Source organism: Homo sapiens, chromosome 1 (assembly GCF_000001405.40).
Source record: "Homo sapiens chromosome 1, GRCh38.p14 Primary Assembly".
NCBI lineage: Eukaryota > Metazoa > Chordata > Mammalia > Primates > Hominidae > Homo > Homo sapiens.
This window is the reverse complement of record NC_000001.11, coordinates 181,099,952-181,120,280: the sequence shown is the minus strand read 5'-3', so window position 1 is coordinate 181,120,280 and position 20,329 is coordinate 181,099,952. Positions and strand designations below refer to the sequence as shown.

Here is a 20,329-nt window from a genome sequence, read left to right as displayed (position 1 = left end):
CTACCTACTTCATAGAATTATTATTTTTGAGCCAGAGTCTCACTCTGTCATCCAGGCTAGAGTGCAATGGCACAATCTCGGTTCACTGCAACCTCCGCCTCCCAGGTTCAAGCGATTCTTGTGCCTCTGCCTCCTGAGTAGCTGGAAGTGCAGTCATGTGCCACCACACCTGACTAATTTTTGTAATTTTGGTACAGATGGATGGGGTTTCACCACATTGGCCAAGCTGGTCTCGAACTCCTGACCTCAAGTGATCTGCCTGCCTCGCCCTCCCAAAGTGCTGGGATTACAGGAGTGAGCCACCTACTTCATAGAATTATTGAGAGAATGTGGGCTAAAGAAGATAGCTGTGGAAAAGCACCAAGCCTCTTAGCTGGCACACGGTGGGAACTCCATGAATATTGGTTGAATCTGAAGATGACTGTGATCATGGATATTTCTGTGTTAAAGTGCTGTCACCACGAGTGTGTGGGCAGCTTGGTTCTTTTCATCACACGCCGTTCCAGCTAGGTGGAGAGGACTGTGGTCAGGGTTGCTGGGTGGCCAGCTGCTCCTACTCTCTCGTTCTGTTTTTCTTACCACCCAAACATCTCTTTTCCCCTCCTGGGCCACTGTCCTAATCCAGGGAGTTCTTCATGTCCACCTCCTCAGCCCCCACCCCTGGGACAGGCCTTACCTCTTCCAGATCCCCTGCAGCCACCCTGCCCAACAGGATTCCAAAGACTAGAAGAACCTCCCCAGCCTGACTCAGGCAAACTGAATGCCCTGTCTCAAACAAGCAGGGGCCCTGAGGCAAGTCTTGCTCTGGGAAAACAAACAGGTTTTTATTACCTCCACCTTAAGACAAAGCCTCAACCTCTGGCTGCTGTGAGACACTCATTCCCAGGAAGAAAAATGACCTCTAATTGCAGTAGTACATGTGACACCTCCCTGGTAGACTGTGAGCTCCCTGAGGGCAGGAACTGGGTCCTACAGGTCCTGATTTTCCTCCTAGCCCCTAGCACCTGCCAATCTGAGTACATGGTCAAGGAAGGTTTGTTGGGTTTTCATGCCTGTGTGTTTGGTTTCTGCTTCTGAGCTAGAGTCTCTTGCCAGGTAAGCAGAGTAGATGCACTCCTCAAAACTCAATAGGAAAACGTCATGCTGGGTCATGGTGAACAGGATCCAGGACCAAAGTCCCTGCTGCTTCCTTCTCCTCCTTCCCAACTCCACACCTGCCCGAACTTATGACAAAGAGACCGAGTGTCTTGGGAGTAGATTCCCAAGTCATGCCTAAAACAATGCATTAGGTCCTTGAATAGATACGATTTGGGTTACTAACCTCCAAGTCACATCCCCTTCATCAATAAATCAAGGCAACTCCAAGAACTTTCTCCTCCCCTGTGGTCTCACACACTGGTCCATGGAGCTCTGGAGTGGAGCAGAAGACACTAGGGCCTGTTCCCTAACACACTCACGGCACTTTCCACTAAAAACAAGCCAGCTTGGCTGGGCACGGTGGCTCACGCCTGTAATCCCAGCACTTTGGGAGGCCAAGGTGGGCGGATCACCTGAGGTCAGGAGTTCAAGACCAGCCTGACCAAGACGGTGAAACCCCGTCTCTACTAAAAATAAAAAACAGGGTGTGGTGGTGCATGCCTGTAATCCCAGCCAGCAACTTGGGAGGCTGAGACAGGAGAATTGCTTGAACCTGGGAGGCAGAGGTTGCAGTGAGCCGAGATCGCGCCATTGCATTCCAGCCTGGGCAACAAGAACAAAACTCCATCTCAAAAAAAAAAAAAACCAAGCCAAATAACACAAGTTCACCTTCCAGCCCTCTGAGTCTTCTCTTCTTCTGGGTCACCTCTTAGGCTTCTCTGGTCAGTACAAGGTGGACACCTGTAAGCTGCTTCTCATCCCAGCCAGCTAAGCCACAGTACACAGGAACCAGCCCCGTTCCCTAAACAAGTCATGGGATTCAGCAAAAGGCTTTCTCCCAGACCAGCCTCTCCTCCCCATGTGCCCTGGGCTGGCTGGGTCCCTCATTCAGTTACCAGACGGACTGCCTTTGCATCTGGACGGGCCTCTGACCTTCCCAGGTGAGAGGTCAGTCATTCAAGGCCTCCACTTGGAGAACAATCAATTTCGAGTTCAGAGATTTGGGGGACCTAGGGAGATTTTCCTAAATGAGATCCCCTGCTTCCAGCACAGACTCCTAGTTGCCTAGCAACTGTAGAAAGAGATCTGGGAAATCTGGAGCTTACTCCACAGCCCCCTGTGCTGTGATGAGCTCGTGTGGCCCACCTAGGGAGGAAGGCACTGCAGCTGATAATTATCAGGAGTAACAGCCATAATCCCAGACCTGCTATTACTGTGTTTACAGAGGAGCAATTACTGCAGAAGCTCACACCACTGGCCTTTCCCAGGCCCTCACCCTTCCCGCCCTGTGCTGACTAAGGGAGTAGAAATAGCCTCCAGCCTTTCCCAGGAGTAGAAGCTACAGCCTCACAGAGCCCCGGGGTGCTCTGATACCGGTTCTGCCACTTAAGCTGCTCTCCAAAGCTGTGAGTGGCCCTTAAGGAGGAAGGACGTGAGTGAGGCTCAGGGCACACACCCTTGGCCTGGCTAAGGGTAGAGGTGTCCAGTGGCAGGAGAGCCAGAGATAGTGCTTGGGGAGGCAGGAATGCTGGTCTTCTAAGAGCATGCTGGGCTTTTTCTCTTTCCTTCCTAAAGCCAGTGGCCTGCTCACCGCCCTTCTTTCTGAGCAGCTCTCTCAAGGCCAGGCTAAGGACAAGGCATAGATGTGGAGCTGAAAGGTTAAGCTCCCTACCCTCCACCCCTGCTGGTCTCCAGAAGGGGACAATTGGAATTCAAATATCCAGTGTCATGAAGCCAAGGAGAGAGGTGGCATAGGAGTCTATAAAGCCAGCCCACTAGCTTCTCTCTCCTGGGAACTCCCTGGTTTATGAGCTGCCAACCCGAGCTTCATGGGTGAAAAAAGCACCCAGACTTCCAGAAAATTGTCTGAGAATGACAGCCTTCCAGCTCTGCCTTCAGTCTCCATCCCCCATGTCCTGCATCCTGGATCTAGCAACAATATTCTGATGCACACCATCTCTTTTCTTTGGCTTCTCTCCCTCCATGACACAAAGGCCAGAGTATGATAGCCTGCCTAGAAATCAAGACCATGATAACTAATTAAAGTCATAGACTTCCAGACTGTTAAATCTTAGTGTGGCATTAGACATGATCTAATCTAACATCCCCATTTTATAGACGGGGAAACTAAGGCCCAGAGAGAAAGGCAGTTGATGTACAATCACACTGCTAGTTAGTGGCAAAACTGAAATCAGAGCTCAGACATCCTGTCCTTGCTCAACTGTTATTTCCAACATATGAACCTGCCCTTTGACTCTGATTGCCCTTTGGGTTCAGGCCACAGAGAAGATTATTTTTAAAAAATCGGTGGGGCATGTTGGCTCCACAGTTTGGGAGGCTGAGGTGGGCATATCCCTTGAGCACAGGAGTTCAGGACCAGCCTAGCCAACATGTCGACACCCCATCTCTACAAAAAATACCAAAAAAATTAGCTGGGCATGGTGGCATGACCTGTAGTCCCAGCTATAGGGGGCTGAGGTGGGAGGATCACTTGAGCTCAGGAGGTCAAGCCCAGTGCAGTGAGCTGTGAGCATACCACTGCATTCTAGCCTGGGTGACAGATCAAGACCCTGTCAAAAAAAAAAAAAAAAAAAAAAAAAAAACGCCTGGGTGCAGTGGCTCATGCCTGTAATCCCAGCACTTGGGAGGCTGAGACAGGCGGATCGCTTGAGCCCAGGAGTTCAAGACCAGCCTGAGCAACATAATGAGACACTGTCGCTATAAAAAGATTTTGGTTTTTTTGTTTTTCAGGATGAAGTCTCACTCTATTGCCCAGGCTGGAGTGCAGTGGTGTGATCTCAATTCACTGCATCCTCCTTCCACCTCCCGGGTTCAAGCGATTCTTGTGCCTCAGCCTCCTGAGTAGCTAGGATTACAGGCACCAGCCACCACGCCCAGCTAACTTTTGTATATTCAGTAGACACAGGCTTTTGCTATTGTCTAGGCTGGTCTCAAATTCCTGACCTCAAGTGAACCGCCCATCTCAGCCTCCCCAAGTGCTGGTATTACAGGCGTGAGCCACCACGCCCAGCCTCTATGAAAAGTTTTAAAGTTAGCCAGGCATATTGGCGTGTGCCTGTAGTCCCAGCTACTTGGGAGGCTGAGGTGGGAGGATTGCTTGAGTCTGGGAGATCGAGTCTGCAGTGAGCTATGGTCACGTCACTGCACTCTGGCCTGGGAAACAGATGGAGACCCTGTCTCAAAAAAAGAAACAACAACAACAAAAACTAGTATTGTAGGACTAGATACTAAACACTTTTAACTTTCCCAAAAGTTTTTACAACAGGGTTCTTATCCTATCCTCAAAGCATTGTTTTCAGGTAAATGGAGTTAATAATATTACTCTAGCTGCACAGGTTGGGAAACTGGCCAGAAAAAGTCCCATTAAGTTGAGAAAGATATGTTAAAAGTGGGTAGAAGAGTTCATGTTTGCTGACTCCTTATCCAATGCTCCTTCTACTATACTCCTTGCCTCCAAAAATTCAGCCTTGTTACTCAGAAAAACCTAGCTAACCAAATAATACTGTCACAGAGGCCCCTTCAGAGAAAAGATGTGGACACCAAGTCAGAACCAACACTGCATTTTAATGCTGAGCTAACATGTTTCCTCTTGCAAGTCACTGGTTCCTGGCTGGTCTTGAACTCCTGACCTCAAGTGATCGGCCTGCCTTGGCCTCCCAAAGTGCTGTGATTACAGGCGTGAGCCACCATGCCCAGCTTTTCCCGTATTCTTTCCTTATTTCTCTTTCTCTTTTCACTGCCCCTTTCTTCCCCAGCTTCACCACATTTTTGGGGAAGAGCGTTTCTACCTCTGTTGAATCCCACTCCCAGTTAGGAGAGATGTCGGTGAGAACTGTCCGCTCAGCATTTCTGGATGCCTCTGTTGTAGTTGTTAGTGAGTGGGACCCTCTAGCACCTGTTGCAAGCTGTAGGGTGTTCACCAGGAAGTCTGGCTTGTTAGAGCAATTACCCACTGCTAGCCTTGGCCTCTCTGCCCTGGACAAAGTATTCTTTGCTCAGATTCTTGCAAACATCATGAGAAAGAGTGGTTCTCACACCTTAGAGAGCATCAGAATCACTTGGAGGGCTTGATGAGCAGATTGCTGAGCCCTATTCTCAAAGTTTCTGACTCAGCAGGTCTGGGATGGGCCGGTAATTTGCATTTCAAGTCCTCAAGAGATACTGATGCTGCTGGTCCAGGAACCACACTTTGAAAACCACTGTGATAAAGGACACAATTCATACACTCGGTGGACCGTGGGCCTGGAGTATGGGAGGATCAGATAGCTGGAAAGGAGGGTTGGGGCTGAGGATGAGTGTGACCAAATTTGGCCAGCCAGCTACAGCAGCTCCTCCTGGCTTTCTCCGTGTACTCTGGTGTCCTCCCACATCCCAAAGATGCACGTGTTGGGTGAATTGGCATGTCTCCATGATCCGAGTCTGAGCGAGTGGGGATGTGAGTGTGCCCTGCAATGGAATGGCGGCCTCTCCAGGGTCAGTTCCTACTTTGTGCCCTGAGCTGCTGGGATAGGCTTCAACCCTAAACTGGAAAGCAGGTTAATAATTATCTTATTTTTATTAATCTTTCTTAAATGTATGCATAGCTCACATTTATTTCAGTGTTTAATATTAGAAATGTTTTGAGTCTTTATTAAGAAGTTTAGTGATGGCCAGGCACAGTGGCTTATGCCTGTAATCCCAGCACTTTGGGAGGCCAAGGCAGGTGGATCCCTTGAGCCCAGGAGTTCGAGACCAGCCTGGGCAACATGGTGAAACTCATCTCTACAAAACATACCAAAAAAATTAGCTGGTCAGGGTGGCATGCCCCTGTGGTCCCAGCTACTTGGGAGGCTGAGGTGGGAGGATCACCTGAGCCCAGGAGACAGAGGCTGCAGTGAGCAATGATCCTGCCACTGCACTCCAGCCTGGAAGACAGAGTGAGACCCTGTCTCAAAAAAAGAAAAAAGAAAAGAAAAAGTTTCGTGATATTTTTGTGACCAGAAATATTCCATAGGAACTTAACTCTTGTTTATATCAATTAGTCTGTGGTAAAATTGATTTCAATATGTCATTTTGCTTAAAGTCACAGTTTCCAAGAACCCATCGATCACGTTAGCTGAGGACTTACTGCACACTGAATGTCTGCATATGCAAGCAATATATACGTGTGACTATTTCAATGCTCATCCCCAGATGAATGTAACAAATTGGGAATTGGGCGCCTAGAGATGATTGGTCCTGGCAATTTAGGCCACAATTCTCTCACTGCCGGTCTCCCTTTCAGTTTTCACTCTCTCTCCCCACCCCTCTCAGCCACTTCCCTCCAGAGAAAGTTCCCAGCTCTTCAGATTGCTCTGCTTGTGCCTGCACAGCCAGTAGCTGGCTAGGGGGCAGGGAAGGGAGGTCCGCGGGGGGCTGCAGTGAGAGGAGCCTCAGGTCTCTAAATGCAACTGACCACAAGGCACAGAGACCTGACGGTGGGCATGTAAGGAGTTCAGGGACTTGCTAGCCAGGTGGGAGCAGGCCTTGGGCTGCCACCAAAAGGAAGGAGCAGGGCAGGGACAGGGAGGTGGAGGGGCTGTGGATACAAAGGCACAGCACCAGCTGCGGCTATCATCTGCTGACAATTGCCTCTTTCCCCTCCCGGGCTACTTCAGAAGGCCCAGTCAAAGCCAGATGTCTGCCAGATTTCCAACAGGGCAGGAATCTAGTCCATCGGGAGGTGCAGGAGGGTGGTTCTGGGAGATGGACCACCTCTGTGGAGGGGGAGGCACCCAACCATTCACCCTGGCACCAACCTCCCCTTCCCGTGCTCATCTTGGGGTGGTGGAGGCTGCAGAGAGAAAGAGAATCCCTCTGCAAATCAGCGAGCATGACTGTCCCCAGCTGGCTGCCGAGGCTGCCAGGGAGGGTGGGAAGCAGAGGTCTCACTGCTCAAAGATAAAACACCATGAAAGCTGACCCAGCCCTTCTGAGTCATTTCCCAAGGATCTTCCCAGGAGCCAATGGGCTTAATGTGCCTAGAACCAGCCTTACCTGTGGGCTGAGGAGGTATATCATATATAAATAAAGGGGGAGCCAGGCAGCTCCCCTTCCCCCAAATCCCTCTCTCATCTCCCATAGGAAGGCCAGAAATTGTACTCTCACTTTTCATGGCTATGGGCTGTAAGCTACTTTGGACATGGGGTGCATGAAGATTTTTTCTCTGCAGCAACAAGACGCCACCCGGGAAAGGCCATGGGGTTGACAGGAAAGAAGCAGGGGACAGAAATAGAACTTGAGAAGTCACCACCCCATCCTCTCCCCCATTGAAAACATTTCCTACCAGCATGCTGCAGGAGCATCTTAAACATGCTGCCCTCGGCCCCTGTGAGCAACATGTTTGGCCTCCTCCCTGCCTCCACATCCTCCACACCCTTGCTCCTGCCCGCCTCCCACCTGTCAGGCATGTTGCAAGATTCCATTGACCAATGTTTACAGAATGCTCTGAAGAGAATGATCCAGTTGCCAAACCCCTGAGTCATCTGGCCTAGTCACCCTTTGCTCCTCTGGCTTGGCTTTCCCACCAGAGCAGATATCATGTTCAGCAGCATTTGTTCACAAGGCCTCACCAGCCAGGAGGCCAACAGGCCAAGCAGGCTTCCCAGACCTGCCTTTTTAGAGCAATGCGAGGGAAGAAAAGAAAGAAACCTTTAGTGAATGCCTGCTATATGCAGGGACTGAATCGGACATTCTCACATATATTGAATTATCAAATATTACAAAAAACCTTGTGTGGTAGGCAATGATATTCATTTTTCAGCTGAAGAAACAGAAGCAGACAGGTGAAATGGTTTTACCCAAAAATAGAACTAGTTAGTAGCAGAGCCAAGAGTGGAACCTGATTGTCTTCACCTGAGTTCCCCCGAAAAGCAGAACCTGAGACAAAGGCTTACGTGCAAGTAGTGCGTTTGGGAATATAATCCCAGGAGGCAGAAACAGGGGACAGAGAGTCAATAGGATTCATTATGAAGCTGTCTATGGCTAAGGATCAACTGGTAACCAACCCTGCAACCCTGCAAGACCGTCTGAGGAAACTGAAACTCATCTTAAGATGATCCACCGGGAAAAGAATGGGGGGAAGCATTCATCCACAAGGTACGAACTCCTCCATACTTCTGAGTTGTACATGCACAAAGCTGGGAATCCTGCACAGAACTGGCCACAGGAGCAGAGGCTGGAAGATTTCAGACAGAGAAGACTTGAAGTGGTCCATAAGGCTGTGCACTAAACACAGGTCCCACCACAACTCCCCACACACACGCACACCATCCTAAGTATACTGAGGAACTTACACGAGGTCACTGGGGCACTCAGGGGAGGATCCAAATGTGAATCACAGCTCATGACTTCCATGCATTCATTCAACAAATATTTATGGCAGGCCCACTATGTGCTAGACATTGGGGTTTAGCAGTGAATGAAGAAGACAAGATCTTTGCTCTCATGGAGCTTAAATTCTAGTGGGGGTGGGGAGGACACGGACAACTGGCAACTAAACAAATAAACAAGTGATGATTCTGTATCAGGCACAGTGCTAAGCACTGAGAAACCCCAGAAGAAATTGTTTGTTTCTTAGGAAGACAAAGGAGCTTGGCCAGGCACAGTGGCTCACACCTGTAATACCGACACTTTGGGAGGCTGAGGCGGGTGGATCACCTGAGGTCAGCTCAAGACCAGCTTGACCAACATGGCAAAACCCCATCTCTACTAAAAATACAAAAATTAGCTTGGCATGATGGCACATGCCTGTAATCCCAGCTACTTGGGAGGCTGAGGCAGGAGAATCGCTTGAACCTGGGAGGCAGAGCTTGCAGTGAGCCAAGATCACGCCACTGCACTCCAATCTCGGCAACAAGAGTGAAACTCCATCCCCCCAACCCCCGAAAAAAAGGAAGACAAAGGAGCAAATGATCACAATCTAATAGATAACTGCCGTGACTGGGTTGACTGGGAGAACAGAGAAGGGACCTCTTACCCCAGAATGGGGAGACATGGGGCATCGGGAAAGTAACTCTGGAAAAGACGAGCCACAAGTTCTTTCAAAGGCCTCATAGGAAGAGCCAGGCATCTCTGGATTGGGAGAAGGGAAGGATATGCTCCAGGGAGAGTGAACAGCATGGGCAAAGACACAGCAGAATGACAGTAGACCATCCTCTGGAAAACTACAAACACCTCCATGTGTTTGGACTAGAAGGTGCCATGCATGTGGGATGGTGTCAAAAGATGAGGCAGTAAAAGTAGGCAGGGAATGGACCACAAAGGCTTGAATATCTAGTACTGGAGAATTTGAATTTAATCCTGAAAGTGAAGGTGAGCCTCTTTTCACCCTCTAAGCTCAATTAGCTCTTGAACGTGTCAGCTAAGGATGCAGATAAAACCAAACAGTCCAACACAGAGGTTGACAGGTGGAGATGGGAAATGCAGGGAACCTCAGGAGGAAGGCTCAGTGGCCTTGGAGTAACCAAAAATGGCCAGATCTGAGTTGCCAGAGTTACACGTTAATCACTCAGCTCTCAGAACTTGATTATGCACGCGGGCATGGGGGCTCCCTCTTGGTCACTCTGACTAGTGCAACAGGCTTAAGACCAGTTCCTCTGGGGCTGAAGAGTCCATCCTCTGCCCCATCTCTTTCAGCTTCCAGCTCAGCCCCTCCCCTCCACTGCCTTACCCTTTGCAGGGGAACTCCCAGGTGTCTGGCATTGAGGACCCTGGGTTCAGGCCAGGTGCCTCTGGCCCTCATTTGGTTTGCATATGATACCTGCCAGGGCTTTCTAGCTGAACCCCACCAGTGAGAGCTAACACCAGAAAAGCAACTGGCATCTGGCTGCCTCTCTTGCAGAGGGTTGTCACATCCATCATCTGGGCAGGAGAAGGGCTCCCTGCAGCTCACAACCACATCCCACAATTCCCCCGCAGAGCCCTTATCAAATGGAGCCCCTGGCTTCTGTTCATTCTTCAAAGCAAAGAAAGCTGAGGTGATCTGAATGCAGACAGGAGCAAAACTCCCAGAAGTAGCCTTCCTATTCTCATATTCAAGGTAGAATAAAATCTCACTCCAGCCCCCATCTACCTCACGGAGGTTCCCAGATATCCCAGGCCACAGAGTCAGGTCCACAGGCCCTATGGTTCAGAGATGGCTGAGCACCTCTATCCTGCAAGCCAGGACCCGGGGGCAGCTCCAGAGTCCTTCAAGCTCACCAGAGATGAAGCGCAGACAGCAAAGAAGGCTTCTAACCCTAACCCCCATGTTTATTTGTTTTTTTCCTCCCTGGACCTGTCCCCATCCCCATCATTCCCTGGTCCCAGATCCCATTCCTTCAGGCTCTTGGTCTGTGCTGGGTGGCCCTTTTCTGTGCCTGCTGCTCTGCAACTTACAGCACACAGTCATCAGGAGTGCAGAGGCAGCATTTGCATTTCAATGGGTACCCAAAATCATGCCTCAAAACTAGACCAATGTCCCCAAAGAAGCTACAGGCTAGTAGGAGACATGGTTAGGGGCATGTGAGTGCCTGCCCCTCCTCCTGAGACCCTTCAAATCACACCCAGGTCCTTCCCAAGCTACAAGAAATGATCCCCTGAAGGACATTCTGGGCATAGGATTCTGAGAGTGTCCACAGCTGTGGTAGAGGGAGGTTATTCCAGGACACACACAGACATAAACCAACAAAGCAGAGGTTTGCATCCCTGAAGATGCTAAGGAGTCTAATGAAACTGATTCCTGAGTTGCTCCCCTGAACAACTGAGCCAATCAGAATCCTTGAAAGGGACACATTCATTTCCCCAGACATTCACCATTCTGCAGTGGTCACCTCCACCCCCTCCCCACAGCTCTCTCTGGCTTACAAGTCCTGAGAGTCCCTACAGATACCTGGACTCTTCCCAGGGGGCTGCTGATGGGGATGGGGGCACTGAGCACTGGCCAGGGAAGGAGTTCTTGGGGTTCAGCAGGACTCCTTTTGCCAAAGATGGTAAACGAGAGATGGGCCCCAGGGCCAATTCCAGGCTGCCCAAGTATGGGGATCTTACCATTTTGCACAGCAGCTACAGCAAGCTCCCACCCGCTCCATCCCTGGCGCCTGGTAGATCTGTCTTCATGAGTCCAGGTTCTCAAATTGACACATCTCATCTTTAAAAGGACCAAGAGAGAGTAAACCTCCCAGTCGCTTCCTGGATCTCAGTGACAGATTTTTCTGATTCACCTCATTACCTCCTCCTACAGGGGCCCATTCATTTCCACCTCATTTTCTTCCCGGTTCTCATGCCTGCCCCATCCTGGCACATCCTGACAGGAGGGACTCTATCCTCACTCAGCGTTCACCCTTAGAGACACAACCCCACACGCTCTGCCTTTCTCTCTGGATTAACACGGTTTCTCTCTTCTGCCCCCATCCTGCAGATCAAAGTCCCTGGAAATCTTTGAAACCAGCATCTCAGGAAGAAACAAATCACAGGGCACTGGTGTTAAGAGAATGCTGACTGTCTGGTTTTGATGGGGTGGTAATGTGGGGCAGGACCACTCATTCTGGCCTGGAACCCCCTTCCTGCCTCACTGTATTCCAAGTGTTAGCGGCCTCTGCAAAGATCTTAAACCCTATTGTTCATACCTCTGAATCTCCTACAGCGTCTAGCAGAGCTGCAGTACAAAGTACACACTCAATAAATATTTGATGAATGGAATCCCTAGTAAAGCTCAAGCTATTCATCACATGCTGCCTAGGATCATTAGTATATTTCAAAATTGCAGAATCTTGAAGTCAGACGGGACCATGTGGGCCATCAGTTCACCCCTACCCAGCACAGAAACACAACGCTGCAGAATTTCTGACAGGCTAACTTCCAGCCCAGGCTCCTCGACCATCTCCATAACTAGGAATGCCTAAGGAAGCCCAGCTCCCCCTCATAGTTGAGACCTCTGTTTATGAGAAAATCCTGTCTTCTATTTACGGGGAATCTGCCCTACCTCTGCATCCCACACCTGCTCCACACAATGACCAGAGAACTGTTTGCAGGGCTTGTGTTTTCTGGGAGAGTATAAGCTCCCTGAGGTGCCCCAAACTCAGTGCCCTAAGTGCCCAGGCAAACTGGCTTGCAGGTCCGTTTGCTGATTGAAAGGGATAGCAAATTCCCTCTAGACCACTATCTTCCCCTCCCCGGGGAAATGAGCCAGTAGGAAAGGAAGCCAAGCCCCACAGCTCTGCTCATACTTGTCCCAACTCCAACAGCCAGGTGTCCACCCTTTCATATCTTCCCATCACCAAGACAGCAACTTAAAACAGAAAACAAAAGAAAGCCTTCTAAAGTTGTTGGCCCCCTTCCTGACCCCCACCCCATCCCACACCATGGAAGTGTTGATAACACTCTCTCCCCAGAGCACACACTTGCAGAGCACAAGGATGAGCTTCCCCAGGATGAGAAAAACAAAACCCCACTCCCTCTGGCCTCTGCTCAGTGTTCAGGACACAGTTAACTAATCCAGAAGGTTGGATGACCTTGTCTGAAACCTAGTGTAGGTTTCAGACAAAGTCTTCCAAAGCATAGCTAATTTTTTTGTCCTTCTAGGGCTTTCAAGGAACAAGACACTGACAATGAACCAAAGCCTGGCTGGCAGTTTTCTAGGTATTCGGGTATTAAGTGAATGGAGATGCAAAGATACACTATGCAAAAGAATAGTCATACCACAAACTTCTCTTCGTTCATAACTAAGCATCTTTGGTACTGGATCACATGCCTAGAAAGGACAAAAGCACTTCCTTGCCTGTGTTCTTGGGGCTTGCATTTGGCCCTAAGCCTAGGCTACAAAAAAGGTGGGGAAATATTGGAGAGCAGTATTCATGAGTATTTAGTTTTAAAGAGCTCCCATTTCCACTACTTCATCTCAACCCTTATCGCAACCCTACTTGGTTCCTTTTACCCACTAACTTTAAAACTCAGCCTTTCCCTTTAAAACTCAGGGAAAAAAGCCCTATGCAAATGTAAAGTATTACAGAACATAAGAGCAGATTCACAGGTAGAAGGTCCTCAGGAAATGGTAGATACATTTTCCTTACCTGAGGCATAATTCTACCCTGGAGTTTTTCTTTTTTTTTTTCCCCCTGGAGAAAAGGGAAGATAAAAGCTGACTTTGTTGGACAGAAAAGAAACAGAAGATGGATACATTAAAAATGTAAGTGCTTACAATTTGCAGCATACATGAAACTCTGCCCACTTCACTTAAATATGTCCACCAAAACCTCAGCCCCCTCCAGCCTCTGGCAAGGGAGTCCTAGCTGGGGTTCTGGGAGATGGCAGCAGAACCTTGGTGAGATGGCCTTGGGCTTGACTTTGCAGAGCTAAAAAGGAAAGACGTTCAAACAATGAAAAGTCCTCCCACCGGATTCCACCTTCTGTTGGCCACTTCCTTCCTTCCCTCCTTTTTCCTTCCCTTCCTGCGGGAGCTACTCTGCCCCACCTTCCTTCCTGGAGAGGAGGACCTACCCTTTCCTCTCTAGGGCTGGTGCCAAAGGGATGAACAATGTGATTGCTGGGGGGGCGGGTAGGGGTGCAGGGAGTCAAGAAGTGGGAAGAAGCAGCCGGTGTTCGAAACAAACCAGAGTAACCAAGCAGAGATGGAGGGAGAGAGATGTTTAGTCCTCAAGGTGCATTTCAGGAGTCTTTGACCAGTTCCCAGAAATTTCCTTCATTTAAGCTTCCAAGCAAAGAGACTGCTAATGGCAGCAACGGCAGTAGAATCCCCAAAGCCTCATCAAGGTGCCCAAATAATGTGACCTCAAGGTGACAGAAAAAAGGATGGCGTCAGTGAGGTAAAAGGGGCACTCAATCTAGGTAGCCATTTGCAATCTCCCTTCTGCTGTCCCACAGCCCAGAGAGAAAAGAAAAAGTGGAAAGGAAACCGTGAAAAGAGGCAGAGACATCAAGAGAGTTTCTGGAAGAGTCTTGAAAAGGGCAAGGACAGAAAGAAGATGCCAATAGGAAGGGGAGAGGACAATACAAAAGGTAATGTGGAGCTGAAAATAGGAGAGGGGAGAGTCGCCCTTCCATCAAATGTAATGATAAAGCTACCAAAGGAGACCAGAGAGTGGCGGAGGGGGAAGGTCAAATGGAGGCGTTCGTGAAGGCAGAGCTTTGGAGAGAGGGCCAAACGTGAGATGGCGAGCACACAAAAAAGGCGCTCCAGGAGGCAGTTGAGGGGGCTGGAACGAAGTGAGAGAGAAGAAGGAAGAAATCAAAGGGTTCATCGAGGGAAGGGGGCGCCTAGGAAACACGCCCGGGAGGGCCCCGCTTTGTCTGGCGTGGGCGGCGGCGGGGGCAGCACGTGCAGCCGGGAGCGCGCTGAGCCGCCAGGCTCCGAGCCGAAGAGCGCCGAGAGGAGACACGACGCGCGGGGGCGGCCCCAGCCCCTCAGACCAGCGAGACCTCTCGCCGGCGGGCCCAGCGCTGCAGAAGGGGCGCATTGTTATGTCCCAGGTCGCAGCAGATTGCCGCTGTCCTGCAATACTCTCGCATCCTGGCACCGCGCCACTGGCACGGCCCGGGGGCTGGAAATAACTGCGCCGTTCCCATGACGACGAGGAAGCTCCCCCCGCCCCCGCCCCGCCCCGCCCCGCCCGCTGAGCTCCGCCCACCGGTACCCGCCGCGGCCGCCTCCCCACAACGGAGCTCCCCCGGTCACCCTGGCAACGGCGGCCGCGGCGCGCGGGAGGTGACTCTAAAAGCGGCGGGCCCCGCCCCCGCCCTCCAGCCCGCAGCGCCGCGCCGCGCGCCCAGCCCCCGCCTGGGCCTGCTCTCGGGCGGGACCTCACTGGGGCAGCCGCGGGCGCCGGCGCAGGAAGCCTCCCTTCCCCCTCGGCCCGCCGGGCCCGGAAAGGCGGGAGCTGGGAGGAAGCTTCGCGGCGGCCGAGGCTGCGGGAGAGGACGAGCGCGCCCCATTTTCTCCGCGGAGCCGCCCCCAGCCCTCCTGACCTCCGCGCCCCTTTAAATCCTCCGCGGGTCTCCCCGCCCTTCCTGCTGGGATGGGAGGAGACCTTAGCGGACGGTGCTCTGCCTGTGCGGCCAGATGAAAGGGGGACTGGGAAAATGAAGCCAGCTCTTGCCGGTGGGCTGGGGGCGGCAGGAATCCGGAGCTCTGGCCGCTGGCGGCACTGGGCTTGAGGGAAGCGGCGGCACGGGAGGCGTCCTCGGGAGCCGGGGTCTCACGGTCCAGGGAACGCCCCCGCCGCCGGCTTGCTAGCGAGGCATCCCGTGAACAAAGAGGCCTGCTTCACCCTACTGGGGCGATCGCCCCCCGGAGGGAAGGGTTTCCACCTTGCACGGCACTCGCGCGTTTTGTCTGTTGGTTGTGGTGAGGAGGGTGTATTGCAGATCCAAAAGGAGCCTCTCGGCCTCCCAGGGTGTCTGGGTCAGAATTGAGACGTTCTGGGCGAGGAGGTGTTGGGAGGGGAGTAGGAGGTCGGAAGGAGAGAGGCCGACCCAGTTAGCTCTGTTCACACCGTCCCTCTCTAGGAGCGGAGCCTACACCTGACTTGTTTGGAATGTGAGCTTTTGCAGGGGACAGAGGCCCTGGCACGTAGAAAGTTCTAAACTGTCTGGTGAATTGCTGCAATTAAAACCAGAGCGGCTCCTTCAGTTGTCCTGGGTGGGCAGGGCATCCCAAAGAAACACAGAAAGTATGCAGGGTCCTTTGAAAATAGTGCCCATATCAAACAAAATATTAATACTTCGCATTTGTAAAGTCCTTTCCTCTAAGAATGTTGTCTCGTTCCATATATATTTTCCACTCCATAAAATTCTAGAGCACAAAGAAAGGATTCATATGGGAGCGAATAGAACAAGTAAAGACGGTCAGCTGTGGTCACAGTGGAGGAACTGAAGAGTTTAGACTTCACCAGCTCTTAGAGCCCTGTTTTCTTTGAAGTGGTTACAACCGAGTACTTTGGTGTGGCCTAAAGAGTTTGAAGGTATACAGTTAAAGGACCTGGAAATAAGATTGGGCTGGCCATTGGGGCCTTGCTTTTCTCATCTGTGAGATGATAGTTGTGAAAATGAGATTAGACTGTATGAAATATTCTTCGTAAGCCATAGGATATGTTATACAAATGCTTTAGTTATTGAAACATCTATAAATTGGTATACAAGTCATGATTACTGTAGTTGCAATACGGAGTTGGTGGGGTGCTTCAGATTTGCAAGCTGTAGGAGGTGGGAACAGGACTGAAGGGCTATGTGCTGATGAATCTCCTTCAGCATTGCTGTGGAATGGATATGCTTCCCCAAAATTCATATGTGTTGAAGCTCTAACCCCTAATGTGACTATATCTGGAAATAGGGTCTTTAGGAGCTCGCTCTCTCCTCTGCCATGTGAGGGTACAGCAAGAAGGCGGCCATCTGCAAGCCAGAAACAAAGCCCTCAACAGAACCTGACCATGCTGGCACCCTGATCTCAGATTTCCAGGCTCCGGAACTATGAGAAATACATTTTTTTGCTTAAACCACTCTGTGATATTTTGTTATGGCAGCCAGAGCAGACTAAGACAAATATGTCTTCGCTTGGAGCTAAGCGCCCCTCCTACCACCTCCACCACCTGGCGTTTTGTTCAGCACTTCCACAGTTGTCTCATTTTTAATTTGTAACCGTGTAAGTTGGAATTGGCAAGATTTATTTTAAAATGAAGAAGCTAAGAAACAAAAAGATTAAAAGGCCTGCTGAAAGTCACACAGATTGTGAATGACTGAACTAGAACTAGAGTCTCCCCAGACAACATCTAGTCCCTAGCATCTGCCAGGTTCTGGGCTAGATTCGAGGGATAAGGAGATGAATATGATTTAGAGGTGGAGAGGGTACAGTCTGGTCAAGCAAAGAAACGTGAACAAATCATTACATCAAGTAGAAAAGTCTGCAAGGATTCATTGGCCCAGCAGGTAAATGGGAAGGGTGGCCCAGGCAGGGGAAGACTGGGAAAACATGGCTTTGGGGGAGCCACAAGTGCTGCTGAGGATAGGGTACAGTACAGAGAAGGAAGGGGCAGAGATGTCCCAGATGCCATTGGAGATTCAGCTTTGCTTTCACTTTCCCAAGGACTCATGGCCTCCCTAGGGCCCTGGCCAAAGGGGAGACCTGAACTTAGAGATCAAGGCTAAGAGTCCTTAAGGACCTAATGTGCCTAAGGAAAAGCAATAGTAAACTCTTCCATTAGTTTTATGTTGACCCTTCTATAGAAAATTATCTTTGTTTTTGGACCTAGCTAGGGTCTCCTAAGGGGTTAGTTTATTAAAGCCCTAACCATTTGTAAGTAAGTGATAATGTGCTTTAATTAGAAGATATGAATTGCACACCTATGACTTTTTCTAGCAAGGTCCTACCCCTAATCAATGTTTTCGCAGAATCTCTGTCTCCAGAGGCACAGAGTCATACTTAAATGAATACATGATCATCCCTCACCATAGAAATGCAGATAAGGACCTTAACTAATGAAGGGGCTAATATCTGTCTCCTTTTGGGAACATTTGTACAAGCTCTTACCAGTTATAGTCAGATAGGAGGATTTATTTGTCTACTGTTTTCTTTATGGGTACAATATGCGTATTTGTGTATATCATATATCCTTACTCTGACTTTTATTATTTATTAAATCACAGCACTCAGATGCTCTCTTGGGGAGGGACTGTAGGTTAGGGACAAAATAGGCCCAGTAGGGCCCTTGCACTTAGAGCCCCTCTCCCAGAAACCAGGTTCCAGAAGCTTGCCCACCTCCCAGGGGTACTCATTCTGAGTACCAGGCCAACAGCCAATTTAAGGGCTGGTTCTGGGATTTCAGCATCTCTCTGCCTGGTACCAAATGAAGACTATCATCTCTGCCTCACTGGAGACCTCATTAGGACTTGAACTCTGGTCTTTGTTCCTTCCCAGTAGGTTCTATACAGTGGAGAAGGTGTGGGGAGGAGGGGGGTCAGGTAAGCCCACAACTCCCAGAACAGCAGGAGTCCAACAGCCTCTGAGAACCAGGAAGTGAGTAAACAAGCAATTACCAGAAAGACAGGGAAGAGCCCGGTAACCCGAGAAGTGGTTCAAATTATTTGATTCCACTCCCTGCCTTCCCTCAAGCCCTCCTCCCCACACCTCCCACCCAGCTTCTCAAGGCTAATTTCACCCCCCTCTGCCTACTCTCCAAGCGAAATTCCACCCCAGTGGAAGCCGGGTCCCAGGGATGAGAGGTGGACGTTACATTCTGGCTAGGGTCTTCAGGGCTTGGCCATTGTCAGTATCGCTGCCGTTTGTCTGTATGGCAAGAAGGGGATAGAATCAGATGGTGCTGCCTGCTATCCTTCCTACTCAGTACCCCTCCAGCCTTCCAATCCCTTTGGGGAAGAGGGGAGTTTAGGAAGAAAGAGGTGACTCAGACCTTGCTTCTCAGAAACTAGAGCGGGAACCCAGCTGGGCTGCAGGAAGTGTGGGGTCGGAGTGAAAAGAAACCTCACATTCCTTTCTCTCTTTTGGCTGGGGAGCTCCCTCTTGCCTACTGCTTCTAGGCTAGTCCCCATTTTTTCACTGTCTCTGGTTCTGCTGATACCAGAGCAGATCCTGGCAGAAAAGGTTTTGACATAGAAAAGATTAAGGTCTAGCACTTATCTTCAAAGAGTTTACAACTTGGTGAGAATAAGAGAGGTAAGACATTTCAGGAAATTTTAAAATATGTACACAAATAACAAGGCAATGTACGATAGATGCCTCAGGAGAAGTGCCACTGTTGCTATTGGCCCCAATCATTTCTCACCTGCATTATTGAACAGCCCTCTAACTGGACCATGCTCCCCTGCCCCACTTAAAAGCCTTCCTTGGCTCCCTCACATCTTTTAAGGTGAAACCAAACCCCCTTCCATGGCATGCCCAGTGTTTTGCAATCTGACCCCTCTTAATCCTCAGGGCCATTCTTCACACCCGTGCTCCAAACAGAAGGAAGGAAGCATTTGTGATGTTCAGCTCCTACCAGCTCTCAAGGCCTCAGGGCCTTTGCACATGCAGCTCTATCTGCCTGGAATGATTTCCCCCTTATTCCCTACTTGGCTAAGTCCAATTTGCCATTTGCGACTCAGCGCAGAAATAACCTCCTCTTCGCAGGAACCCTTCCCTCACACTCTGTCTGGGTTAAGTATTCCTCATCAGTATTCCTATATCACAGTAGTATTAACCCTGGATTGTAATGATCCATTTTTCATCCCTCTTCCCTCTAGATATCAACTTCCTTACTCATCTTTGTACCCAGTGCCTGACACAAAGTAGACAATAAATGATGGCTAAATGAAAGGCTGACTGGCAGGCAGAGGAGTTCATAGAGAATATGGGAAGTTATTAGAGGCTTTTGAGTCAGAGACTGATAACATCACCAAAACTGTACTGTCAGATGAGTAATCCATTAGTTATAAGGTAGGGCTGGGGTGGGGGTGAGGGGGGCTTTGACGCGAAATGGAGAACAGACTAAGAAGTGTTTGAAGAACGAAGATGGTATCAGTGGGAACTAGAAAGCAGGAATAGAAGTGAACTACATTGTGAAGATAATGCTGTGAGCTTAACGAGTGTTTAGATGTGTTGGTAAGAGGTATGGGGGATGGGGGGTGGAGGTAGGGGGTAAGGCCAAGATTTGCAACCCTGGTACCTGAGAAGAAATGCGAGTGGAAGAATCAGACAAGTCAGGAGAAGGCACTAAATGCAGATAGCAGTGGGGCGAGGGAATCTGTGAGACGAGATATCTGTTTGTTTTTAGAAATAGCTTCACTAATTAGGACAGAGAGCAAACAGACTGGAGGAATTTTGAGCCCTGGGTTGAGTTTTGTCTCTGGGTGGTCTAGGCATGCAAAGACTAACAAGTTAGAGCCTCACCTTATCTTTTCAGCAAACTGTGACAAAGGTCCAGTAATGATGCCGGTTTGTAAATCACTTTCACACCTTTAGCATGAAAGGATCCCACTACCAAGTGGAGCTATTAATTCTTTTGCATTCCCCCCACCCCCACGTTCCAGAGGAGTTTGCTGGGGGATGATGCTGTTTTTCCATCTGAACGGGGCTATGTTTTATCAAATACACTGCAGTTCTCAGTCCATTACCTTTTTCTCCTCACATTCTTCCTGTTTTCTGACTCTGAATTTATTTTAATCTCGT

The 20,329-nt window shown here is 49.9% G+C and overlaps 6 annotated features.

Moving 5' to 3' along the window:
• Positions 7,261-8,460: an enhancer, noted in NCBI's record as "P300/CBP strongly-dependent group 1 enhancer chr1:181080957-181082156 (GRCh37/hg19 assembly coordinates)". NCBI's record gives its function as "activates an origin of replication core promoter dependent on BRD2, BRD4, P300/CBP, MED14 and CDK7 cofactors, with strong dependence on P300/CBP, by STARR-seq in HCT116 cells {active_cell/tissue: HCT116}" and the evidence as "EXISTENCE:reporter gene assay evidence [ECO:0000049][PMID:35650434]".
• Positions 14,034-14,928: an enhancer, noted in NCBI's record as "H3K27ac-H3K4me1 hESC enhancer chr1:181074489-181075383 (GRCh37/hg19 assembly coordinates)". NCBI's record gives its function as "activates a minimal SCP1, AML or CMV promoter by ChIP-STARR-seq in naive H9 embryonic stem cells {active_cell/tissue: H9 hESC(naive)}" and the evidence as "EXISTENCE:reporter gene assay evidence [ECO:0000049][PMID:30033119]".
• Positions 14,034-15,261: a biological region, named in NCBI's record as "H3K27ac-H3K4me1 hESC enhancer GRCh37_chr1:181074489-181075383".
• Positions 14,462-14,511: a silencer, noted in NCBI's record as "silent region_1607". NCBI's record gives its function as "represses an Ori minimal core promoter by ATAC-STARR-seq in GM12878 lymphoblastoid cells {active_cell/tissue: GM12878}" and the evidence as "EXISTENCE:reporter gene assay evidence [ECO:0000049][PMID:35858748]".
• Positions 14,772-15,261: a silencer, noted in NCBI's record as "silent region_1606". NCBI's record gives its function as "represses an Ori minimal core promoter by ATAC-STARR-seq in GM12878 lymphoblastoid cells {active_cell/tissue: GM12878}" and the evidence as "EXISTENCE:reporter gene assay evidence [ECO:0000049][PMID:35858748]".
• Positions 15,282-15,341: a silencer, noted in NCBI's record as "silent region_1605". NCBI's record gives its function as "represses an Ori minimal core promoter by ATAC-STARR-seq in GM12878 lymphoblastoid cells {active_cell/tissue: GM12878}" and the evidence as "EXISTENCE:reporter gene assay evidence [ECO:0000049][PMID:35858748]".